The 12322-nt window shown below is 38.2% G+C and overlaps 1 protein-coding gene across 5 annotated transcripts in view; it reads right to left on the minus strand.

Annotated features, from left to right (window-relative positions):
• The window catches only part of USF3 (upstream transcription factor family member 3), a 48258-nt gene that overhangs the window by 20168 nt on the left and 15768 nt on the right, over positions 1 to 12322 (minus strand). For 2 of the 5 annotated variants that reach the window (NR_111981.2, NM_001009899.4), the window contains exons 2-5: positions 8730 to 8845; positions 6280 to 6344; positions 4796 to 4824; positions 1569 to 1651 (exon numbers count right to left, since the gene is read on the minus strand). Coding sequence is in view for 4 of the 5 variants with exons in the window: in NM_001009899.4 (NP_001009899.3) it covers positions 1569 to 1651; positions 4796 to 4824; positions 6280 to 6326 (159 nt within the window). In the remaining variant the exon portion in view is untranslated. The remainder of the gene's footprint in view (positions 1 to 1568; positions 1652 to 4795; positions 4825 to 6279; positions 6345 to 8729; positions 8846 to 12322) is intronic. The other 3 variants (XM_017005871.2, XM_005247208.5, XM_017005872.2) reach the window with 3 other exon arrangements.

The raw sequence follows: 12322 nt of genomic DNA on the forward strand, positions 1-12322 counted from the left end.
GCTACCAAAATACAAACCTATTCAGTCAGCTTTTTAATGCCTCATTCCCAAGTATGAAAAAAACAGCTTCAAGTCACTAAACATTTCAGGAAAACCCCCTCAAAAAAAGATGAGACAAAAAGGGGAAAAAAGGAAATCAGAGGAAAAAAACATAAACAGAAAAAAACTTCAGGAAAAAACCTACATATACTATTCAGAGGTGAGAAGATATTGTATCCACAAACATATGGTAGGAAAAGGAACAGAGAATAAGAAAAAAGACTATTGGAAATTAAAAATATAAGAGCTGCAATTAAAAACAGAAGAGCTGGAAGAGGTCAACTGGTTGAGAATGAAAAAGGAGAACAGAGTGTTCCAGAAGTAAAGTCTTGAAGAAAGAAAATGGCAAATGAAAATTATGTAGTACATTTGACCTTACAGAAAACTCTACTAAGAGATGGTTGGAAGTATCAGAAGGATTAAAGATAAGTATATGAAAAATTAAGCAAATGGAAAACTATGAGGTAATTATTTACTCCACCCAAAAACAAAAGCAACAAATGAAATATAATAGTACACTCCTTGGCTCAACCATGAATAATATTTACAGTTTTAAAAACATAAAAACTGAATACCAATTTAACCAAAAGTGATAGAATTATAATGGAAGGACTGAAGAAGAAGAAGCCAGGGGAAAAGCATAACAACGAGTCAATAGATAATCTCTAAAATTGAAAAATTCAGATACAGCAACGTAAGTATGCTATTTAGAAATATAACAGTAAAAAAAAAAAAACACAGAAGAAACAGTTGAGAATATTTGCCTCTGAGGAGCTATGTTGGGGTTAGGAAGCAGGTAGGAGATTAATGTTTGTTGTTTTAAGCTTTTTAGTGCTGTTTGCTATGTGTCTTATTAACTTTTTGCATATATTCATTTAATTACAACATTATAATAGTGATTATTGCTTGGGAGTAAGATATCAGTTTATTTTTTAAACCTTTTTGTGCCTTTCGTATTGTTTCAATTTTTTGTTTTTTTGTTTTCAGTGGAGCATGCTTTATCCTCATTATTAGAGGGATAATAATAATTATCCCTCATTATTAGAGGGATAATCCTCATTATTAGAAGGAACAAAAAGGTATCTTCATTAGAGAACACTGTCATACTTTAAGCTGAGATTTTAAGTACTACTGGGGGTTAAGAGGGCACGGAGAATAAATTTTTAAAAAGATCCTTGGAAGATTCTAAGTAAAAATTTAAAAGGAGTAAGAACATGCATTGGCAGGAAAACAAAATGAAAAAATGCCTTGCAAATAGAGTGGCATATATGTAAACATAGTCATGTGATTAATTTAGTAATCAAGAGAAATCTGAAGAGTCTAGAAATTATATGGTACATTTGACCATGAAGAAACTGTACTAAAAGATTGTTGGAAGAATGGGAAGAATTAAAACAAGGCAATTATTAACTTCAAAAGAACCATACATAGAAATAGAAAGCAACAAAAATAATCATTCTAAGCACCAAAACAACTTAGGGAATTGTCTGTTCATAAGTAATGAATGAAGATATGAGTAGACTTCTTACCTGCTTCAGGGCAGGAGAACATGGGATCAGCTCTCCTATTCTGTTTATCCCAGCATTAATTTTCTTCTTTCTATGCCTCTCCACTAGATGGGAGAAAATTCGTTTATCAAACCTTACACTACTTAGTCAAAGTGCCCTCATTCAACCACGGTAAAGAAGTTTTAGGTAAAGAAATCCCTAAGAAATGCTTATCAATGGCCAGGCGTGATGGTTCACACCTGCAAACCCAGCATTTTGGGAGGCCAAGGCGGGTGGATCACCTGAGGTCAGGAGTTCGAGACCAGCCTGGCCAACATGGCAAAACCCCATCTCTACTAAAAATACAAAAAGTAGCTGGGCGTGGTGGCACACGCCTGTAGTCCCAGCTACTTGGGAGGCTGAGGCAGGAGAATTGCTTGAAACCCGGGAGATGGAGGCTGCAGTGCGCTGAGATCATGCTGCTGCTCTCCACCCTGCGTGACAGAACGAGACTCTGTCTGAAAATAAAAAAAAAGGGAAGGGGGAAGGGGAGCGGAAGGGGAAGGGGAAGGGCTTATCAAACATTATCTACTATAAATAACTATAATAAGTAAAATGTCTAAGATGTCATTTTTTAAATCTAGTGTTACAGCAATCTACATAAGCAATACTTTTATTAGCATTTTGCTTTTTTTTGAGACAGGGTCCCCCAGGCTGGAGTGCAGCAGTGCAATCTCAGCTCACTGCAATCTCCTGCCCTCAGCCCCTTCCCTGGGCTCAGGCCTCCCGAATAGCTGGGACCACAGGCATGCAGCACCATGCCCAACTATTTTTTTTTGTATTTTTAGTAGGGACAGGGTCTTGCCATGTTGCCTAGGATGGTCTCAAACTCCTGAGCTCAAGCTATCTGCCCACCTCAGTCTCCCAAAATGCTGGGATTACAGACCTGAGTCACTGCACCAGACCTTAAAATTTTAAAGACCATCATTGATAATAATTACTTTCAAATTAAAAACAAATAGGAATTGCTAATATTTCATTACTACTAGGCCATCATTCTATTACAGTTCAAGTAATCACTAGAGATTTTAATGATAATCAAATTTAAAGAATCCACTAACAAACAAGTTATTAGAAAGCTGCCTCTTTATGGCAAATGGGCAAATGAGGCCTTTCTAGGCAGATTAAAGAACCTTAAAACACCTTTTTGGATGACTACTGGGCCTTTTTGGAATAGAAACAGCTATTAGCTATGACTTAAAATAGATAAGAAAGAGTACTGGTTTGGTTTTCTCTATGGGATCTGGGATCTGGGATCTAGACTCTCCACTTTGGCTATGTTGGATCTTTCCCATCAAAGAAACAAAGCAACTGACAGCTTCTCAATCAACTGTGAAATGTTCCAGGCTTAAGTGTTACAAATTTAAAAGGGGTCAAAGGATAGGAGACATTATACAAATAATTTCTATAAGACTCTGTAAGTGGAAACATTAGTATTGGCTATTTTCTATTACAAAGTTTTCTAAAACATTCCTTTTTAACAAAGGATTCCAGTGCTTCTAAGTAGATGATCTTTCAGTAGCATGGGTGTGACGTGTTTTGCAAAATATATATATTTTTTGCTTTATGATCTAGCAGTAAGAGCATCCTTTTTTCTTTCTTTTCTCCTTTTTTCTTTTCTTCTTCCTTTTTTTTTTTTTTTTTTTTTGAGACAAGGTGTTGTTCCATTGCCCAGGCTGGAGTGCAGTGGCACAATCACAGCTCACTGCAGTCTTGACTTCCCAGGCTCAAGCAATCCTTCCACCTCAGCCTCCAGAGTAGCTGGAACCATAGACATGCACTACCATGCCTGGCTAATTTTTTTTTATTACTTGTAGAGGCGGGGTCTCCCTATGTTGCCCACGCTGGTTTTGAACTCCTGGGCTCAAAATATCCTCCTGCCTTGGTCTACCAAAGTGTTAGAATTACAGGCATGAGCCATCACGCCTGGCCTAGCATCCTTTTCAATGACACCTAATTAGTCTTTCTTAGTAAGTTATGGTAAACACATCTCTTTCTTTTTTTTTTTCTTTTTTTTTTTTGAGATGGAGCCTCACTCTGTCACCCCAGCTGGAGTGCAATGGCACGATCTCGCTTAACTGCATCAAGCGATTCTCCTGCCTCAGCCTCCTGAGTAGCTGGGATTACAGGCACGCACCACCATACCCGGCTAATTTTTTGTATTTTTAGAAGAGATGGGGTTTCGCCATGTTGGCCAGGCTGGTCTCAAACTCCTGACCTCAGGTGCTCCACCTGCCTCGACCTCTCCAAGTGCTGGGATTACAGGCATGAACCACCACGATCGGCCTATAAGCACATATCTATGGCACCATGTGACAGCTGACTCCAATCAAAAAGATTAGCTCTTATGGTCAAAAACATTAATTTATACAGCAAAAAAAAATCAAAGCAATAAACTGTGCTTACCTTTCCTCTGAATTCTCTAATAATAGTATTTGTTGGTTTCTAAGAGTAGATTTTGTAATGCATGGAGGTTAAAAAAAAAGTCAACATTAAGACTTTTTACCCCCTGCAGAAAAATGGAGTTTCAAAGGCAATAAACTCCACATTCTGAGAAACAGCAATATCCCACCAGTGTTCAACATACTTTTCCATAGATAAAATTTTCCCAAGGGTCCTTTCCTTAGACAAAGGAAGGTATCGTTTATAGATACAGTGTGCCAAATTCCAAATGTATGCACAATTAATTTTATAGATGTTTATCTGGCTTTGGCCTGTAATTTCAATATTTGAGATAAAATCCAATATTTATTTTCTATATCTTCCTATAATTGAGGACTCCAGAACTTAATTTAAGACTGTTCACATTACAAGGCTCTTTAGGATCTATAACCTGCTGCTCATCTCTTAGCTATACCTCTAGGCAGCCAGCCCCCTCGGGAATTGCTGCAAAGATACATACCCTCCATACTATCTAGGAGAATAATATCTGGACTATCTTGGTAGGTAAAATCACTTAAAACACTAGCTCCAGGGATACAGTAATCTCTTAAATTATCTAAATAGACTATGAATCAGAAGATGATAAGCAAGCCATCTTCATGAGACTCAGGGAGTATTTTGTCAATAAAAAACAATAAGGGAACATTTTCCTAAAACATAATGAATAATGATTCCTTGCTTATAACATAAAAACTTATAATCAACTGCAGTATGATTTCATTTTGAATGCAAAAAATGCTAACAGGTAAAATTTAAATTGTTTCTACCTGCATTGTGTGTCTCCCGGTTTTTCTTTCTGAAACAAAAAGTACAGATAAAAGGTAACATGAAAATAATGGGAAAGTATTTTTACCATTTTATACTTTAAGAATCACAAAAATAAATTTTATGAATTTGTATTTGTTGCAGCAATAAGAAACAATCTGAAGAAACATTTCCTTAATATATATTATGGTATGAAAATCTAATGGCAGAGAACCTCAATATAAATTTAGAAACCACAATTTCTGGAGGTAACTACAACTCTCTATTCTTCCATACCCAGAAGTCATAGGTGGGGAAATGAATCAATCACTGAAAAGCTTAATTAACTATTTCAAAATATAACTTAGGTGCTGGTAAATTCACGAAGTGATGTGCCAAGTAGGTGATATCTGATGTTTGTCCTGGCACCTGGACCAGTACGGGTGTGCGTGTGCAGGAGACACAAGCAACAGCAGAGTAATTTTGTAATCCCTAGGGAGGGAGATGTGGCAGCCAACAGCACCCGTGTACAGACAAGTGGCATCTGAGCTATCTTGTATTTGTGTACCTCAGGTTGTCCAAACTCTTAAATTTTCTTGAGAGCCAATCTACTAAAAGCATTGACTTTCCTTTTTATACACAATTACTCAAAACATTAGCATTCTCTAATAGCTATTTGGTAAGGAAAGAGAATCATGATTTTAATATTAGTAGAACCATTGGCCATGCAATTCTAAGCAGAAACATTGCTAAAGGTGCTAGAAACTCAGAAAAAAAGGTTATACAAAGAACCAGAAGTAACATTGTTCTGATATGCATATTAGCATTAATGGATTATAATGTCACAGAATGTCTATTCACACTGACTAGAGCCTAAATCAACTTAGGATATACAAAAATTAATACTATAGGCAAGTGAAAATGTCATTACAAACAAAACATTTAACATAGATTTGGTAATATATTAACTACTGACAGTCATTCTTGTTATATTGCTAGTAGAATAAGAACAGATAATTTTTTTTCTTTTTTTTTTCTTTGAGATGGAGTCTCTGTCACCCAGGCTGGAGTGCAGTGGCATGATTTTGGCTCACTGCAACCTCTGCCTCCCAGGTTCAAGCAATTCTCCTGCCTCAGCCTCCCGAGTAGCTGGAACTACAGGTACATGCCACCATACCCAGCTAATTTTTGTATTTTTAGTAGAGATGGGGTTTCATCATGTTGGCCAGGCTGGTCTTGAACTCCTGACCTCAGGTGATCCACCAGCCTCGGCCTCCCAAAGTGCTGGGATTATAGGCGTGAGCCACCACACCCGGCCAGGACAGATAATTTTTAACCATATACCTTTTTCAGTAAATCTGTATTTATCTACAAATATTTTTGGAGAGTAATAATTTCCTCGGTATCTAAATAAAAGTTCTCTAAGGACTACCTATGTAGCAAAATAGGAACTAATTCTGCTTCTTATCTGCCCAAAGCATATTATATTGGGGCTGTGGATACATACCTGTGCTGCTTTTTTGTAGGCGTCTCATTCTCTGTCATTTCTGGCATGGTTACAGTAATAGGAACCTACAGAAGGATAGAAAGACACACCAGAAAGCTTAGTCATTCTAGAATCTTACAAAAATTGGTCAATAGCAATTTGATTTGAATATTAAAATGCTAAAAAATAAAATTGACATTGAAAAGCATTGGATTAGGTGTTGCAGATAGAAAGAAGTATAAGAAAATAGCATAAAAGTACTATAATTAGCAAATGTAGAAAATGGTGAATATCAAATGTGAGGTATAGCCAGAAACTGCTTGAGAAAATTTGAGTAGAAAAAGATCACTGCAGGCTTGGAAATCAAGAAAAGCTTAAAGGGGATGTGAATTTGAGCAAGAGCTGGAAAGATAGGTAGAGCATAGTTGAGTTGGGAGAGTATGCTATTTGTTCATGTGAAGTGTTATACAGAATTTAAACTAAAACAATGGTTCCCTACTCTGAACACAAAAAAAACAAATGTGACAAGAGCACAAACATGTAATATTCCATACATGAAAGCAAGCATTCATTCACTCACTCATTTGTTGGGCATTAACTTCAAACTGCTAGAAGTCTCATATTATCATTTGACTGTCATTAAAATCTGGGTATGAAAATTCTATATATATTTCAATTATCAGGCTACTAAATAATACATGCACTATTGGAAAATATATACATATATGGAAAAGGCCAGAAAGCAAATACATTAATATATTAATCATAGTTAAGTAAGGGTAGTGATATTTTGGTGATTTCATTCTCTTCTCTGACTTTCAAAAATTTCATAATGAAAGCTGTGATGCTTTTATATCCCAGAGATTGACAACTGTATTAGTCCGTTCTCATGCTGCTATAAAGAAATACATGAGACTGGGTAATTTTTAAAGGAAAGAGGTTTAATTGAGTCACAGCTCCACAGTGCTGGAGAATGCCTCTGGAAACTTACAATCATGGTGCTCTGTCACCTCTTGAACATTTTGCTGCTTAGAAATTTCTTCCACCGGATAACCTAAATTCTCTCTCTCAAGTTCAAAGTTCCACAGCTCTAGGGCAGGGCAAAATGCTTCCAGTCTCTTCACTAAAGCATAGCAAGAGTCACCTTTGCTCTAGTCTTCAAGAAGTTCCTAATCTCCATCGGAGACCACCTCAGCCTGGACTTCATTGTCCACATCACTATCAGCATTTTGGTCAAAATCATTCAACAAGTCTCCAGGAAGTTCCAAACTTTCTCACATCTGCCTGTCTTCTTCTGAGTCCTCCAAGTCTCTACAAAGTTCCAAACTTTCCCACATTTTCCTGTCTTCTAATCTGAGCCCTCCAAACTGTTCCAACCTCTGCCTGTTACCCAGTTCCAAAGTTGCTTTCACATTTTCAGGTATCCTTATAGCAGTGCCCCACTCCCAGTACCAATTTACTGTGTTAGTCCATTGTCACGCTGCTATGAAGAAATGCTCAAGACTAGGTAATTTACAAAGGAAAGAAGTTTCACTGACTCACAGTTCTGCAGGGCTGGGGAGGCCTCAGGAAACTTACAATCATGGTGGAAGGGGAAGCAAACATATCCTTTACATGGCGGCAGGAAGGAGAAGTGGTGAGCAAAGTGAGGAAAGCCCCTTATAAAACCATCATCTCATGAGAACTCACTCACTATCACAAGAACAGCATGAGGGTAACGGCCCCCATGATTCAATTACCTCCCACTTGGGCCCCTCCCATGACACATGGGATTATGGGAACCATAATTCAAGATGAGATTTGGATGGGGACACAGCCTAACTATATCAACAACCTTTCAAAATGAGTCTACCAAGTTGGGATACCTGCTGTGGTACACTGGAGGAGGTGCAAGTGTGGTTTCCCATTTTTTTCTCCGAGAGAGAGAAAAAGTAGCAAGTATGAAGTCTGAAGTCAGAAAGCATGAGTTTAAAATCTGTTTCTGCCACTTCCTAGCTGTCAGGTCTTGGGCAAGTTACATGACCCTCAGAATCTCAGATGCTTCATCTACACCGTGAATCATAATAACAGTATTACATTATTGGATTGTTCCGAGCAGGGAATGAAATTTTGCGGGTACAGCACAAGACCACGTTACCTAGTAGTAATAAGGATTTAATAAATGTTAGCTTTAAATGTTAGTGAGATATTTCAGGTTAACTTTAGCCCTAGGGAGGAGGGAGAAGGGTCCTGGGAAATAAGTAGACATGAATGCAGGAAGGGGATGACAGAAAGCACTGACTGAAGCAGCCTGTCGAGAAATGTGTCATCAAGACCCATGTCCAGCAGCTTATTCCTATTCCACCTTTTCCCTACCATTTGTGAAGTACCTATCAGCCTAAAAGCAATGAGCTCACATTAGGTAAACATATGGTGATGGTGGGGAACATGTAATTAAATAAGTAAATGAATAATCCCTGTGACCTTCTCACCTAAGGGCTTGCAGAGTTTCTTCACTTTTGATTCCTGGCTTCCAATGCCTCCCGTTTCTGATCCAAATGTATCATCTTCTGCCAGAAGATGGTCTATGGGTTATGCTTTCTTCTTACTACACAAGAGAAAAATCAATGAATGTTTATAGTTGCTAGGTGTCCATTAGCACCGCGTAAGGCAAGGGCTGACAACCTATGGCATGCAAGCAGATTTTTAGTGCCACGAAGGATGATCCTGAATTCTCCCCACACTTGAAAGCAAATCAATGCAGTTGCTCTCAAAAGTCACTTTCCTATTGGTTACCGATGCTCCATCCCGACAAAGATGGTAGTCTTACAGCCAACGGATGGTCCCCAAGAGGGGATTCTCTGTTTTCTCTTATGCATGCTCATTGTACCTTAGGTCCTCACTAGCTGCTGGTTACTCAAAGTCCTCCACTTGGGTCTTACCCTAACTTCTGTCCTCAATTCTAAAATTATCTTTCCTTCAATTTCCTACCTCCTACTTCTCTCTTTTAAGAGTGCCTGAAAACTTACATAAGGACCTTCCCCTAAGGCACTAGGAAGACAGCCCTCAGACCTTTGCATTGCATGTGTTCTTTAAAAATGTAAATTTGGGGGCTTCATTCCAAACATGACAAATGAGAGGTCTGGGTAGGGCCCAGGAATTTGCACTTTCAACAACCTCCTTGGGTGATCTTCTCCCCTCCCCTCCCCTCCCCTCCCTTACTCTCCCCCTCCTTCCCTTCCCTTCTCCCTCCCTTCCTCCCTCGCTCCCTTCCTTTCTCTCTTTCTTTTTTGTTTTTGGTTTTTTAGGTACAGAAAAAGTTTTAGAAACTTCAAGAGAGGGATCTGAATTTTAATAAGTGCCCCAGGTGATTCTGATAGGAAAAAGCTGGAAACACAGGCAGTTACCTTTAACTGGTGAAAGTTCAAGCATCTGACCAATACCCTAGTTCCAGCCTTTCCCCTGCAGCCCTTTTGAAAGTCTGCAGATAATTTCACATATAATTAAGGTATATAAAGTAAAAGTTCTAGTTGTCTAAACATCTAGAGTATTTTTTTTTTCTGGGCTCAGTCCATAATAACCAATATCTAAAATCTTGAAGTCAATGACACTAAGGGTCTATCACATAAGTAAACATTCTCTGCACTCAGGTGAAAGCCAGGAATTTAACTGAAAGAGGAAGACAACTGTAAATCAAAATCATCCCGTTTACCAAATGCCATTATGAATATCCATCTCAATGTAAAATTATTTATAGGTACAATTTTCATGCTACTAAAATTGCATTCCTGATGCTAAAAAAAAAGAGCATCTATTGGAAAGGAACTATACAATATTTTCATAAATCCCTGTCCACTTAATAATTAGCTTATTAATAAAGAAATTACATTTTTAATATTTACATAACTACAAATATATGCCTTAAAATATTTAAAGTGTCATTAAAAATTTTTTTTAATTTTTAAAAATGTTTTTAGAGACAGGATTTTGCTTTGTCATCCAGGCTGGTGTGCAGTGGTGTGATCACAGCTCACTGCAGCCTCAAACTTCTGGCTCTCAAACTCTGGTGATCCTCCCACCTCAGCCTCCTAAGCAGCTAGGAATACAGGCACACACCACTATTCCCGGCTAATTTTTTGTAGAGATGGGATCTCACTATGGTGTCCAGGCTGGTCTCTCTGTCTTAGAGATGGGATCTCACTATGCTGTCCAGGCTGGTGTCTCTCTCTCTCTCTCTCTCTCTCTCTCTCTCCAACTCCTGGCCTCAAGCGATCCTCCCGCCGCAGTCTTCCAAAGTGCTTGGAGCCACTGCACCTGGCTCCATTAATATTTTGGCTCCCTTAGTTTTTGAATGCCAAAGGATTACATTAGTAATCTCTGAATTATTATGCTTTTATGGAAGAACTATTCCTGAAGTTACTCAAACCCAGTAGTTTTCAAGTGTGGTGCTCAGATCACCTGCATCAAAATCACAGTTTTCAAAACTTTTTTCCTTGAGATAAACCTTACATATAATAAATTGCATAAATCTTACGTATAATATTCAATGGGTTTTGACGAATGCACACAACTGTATGACCCAACCCCATCAAGGTACAGAACATTATCAACAGAGAAAGTTCTTTTTTTTTTTTTTTTTTTTGAGACAGAGTCTCGCTGTGTCACCCAGCCTGGAGTACAGTGGCACAATCTCAGTTCACTGCAACCTCTGCCTCCTGGGTTCAAGCAATTCTTCTGCTTCAGCCTACCTAGTAGCTAGGATTACAGGCACCTGGCACCATACCCAGCTAATTTTTGTATTTTTAGTAGAGACGGGGTTTCACCATGTTGGCCAGCCTGGTCTCAAACTCCTGACCTCAAGCGACCCACCCATCTTGGCCTCCCAAAGTGCTGGGATTACAGGCATAAGCCACCACGCCCAGCCTCAGAAAGTTCTTTCATGACCCTTTCAAGTCAATCCCTTCCCCTACTCCAGAAGCAAACCCTATCCTAAATTTTTTCACCATAGAACTTCATATAAATGTATTGATTGGGAATTCTTTTGTGTAAAGCTTTTACTAAGCATAATGTTTCTGAAATTCATCTAGTAGTTTGTTCATTTTTATTGCTGAGTATAAATATACAACTGCATGTGAATTTGTAACAGAGTTTATGTTTTTCTTTTTTTTTTTGAGACAGAGTTTCGCTCTTTTTGCCCAGGCTGGAGTGCAGTAGAGGATCAAACGTGCATCAATGTTCACCACAGATATTGGCCTGTAGTTTTCTTTTTTTTTTTTTTTTTTTTTTTTGATGTGTCTTTGTTTGGTTTGGTATCAGGGTAACATTGGCTTCACAGAATGAATTCGAAGTATTCCCTCCTCCTCTATTTTTCTTAACAGGACTGGTATTAGTTCTTCTTTAGATGTTTGGTAGAATTCAGCAGTGAAGCTATTGGGTCCTGGGCTTTTCTTTGCTGGGAGACTTTTAATTATGACTTTGATATCATTACTTGTTATTGGTCTACTTAGGTTTTGGACTTCTTCATGGTTCAATTTTGGTAGGTTGTATGTGTCTAGGAATTTATTTCTTCTAGGTTTTCCAATTTATTGGCATATAGTTGCTTATAGTAGTCTGTAATGATCCTTTGAATTTCTGTGGTATCCAATGTACTGTCTACTTTTTCATTTTTTATTTTATTTGGGTCTCCTCTTTATGTCTCGGTTTGTTGATTTTGTTTATCTTTTCAAAAAACAAACTTTTTGGCCAGGCACAGTGGCTCACGCTTGTAATCCCAGCACTTTGGGAGGCCAAGGGAGGCATATCACTTGAGGTGAGGAGTTTAAGACCAGCCTGGCCAACATGGCAAAACCCTGCCTATACTAAAACTATAAAAATTCACCGGGTGTGGTGGCACATGCCTGTAATTTAAGGCTGAGGCAGGAGAATCACTTGAACCCGGGAGATGGAGGTTGCAGTGAGCCAAGATCACACGCCACTCCAGCGTGAGTGACAGAATGAGATACTGTCTCCAAAAAAAAAAAAAAAAGTTTTGTTTCGTCAATCTATTTTGTTTTTGTTTTCATTTCAATTTCATTTATTTCTTCTC

The sequence above is a fragment of the Homo sapiens genome, chromosome 3, assembly GCF_000001405.40.
Source record: "Homo sapiens chromosome 3, GRCh38.p14 Primary Assembly".
NCBI lineage: Eukaryota > Metazoa > Chordata > Mammalia > Primates > Hominidae > Homo > Homo sapiens.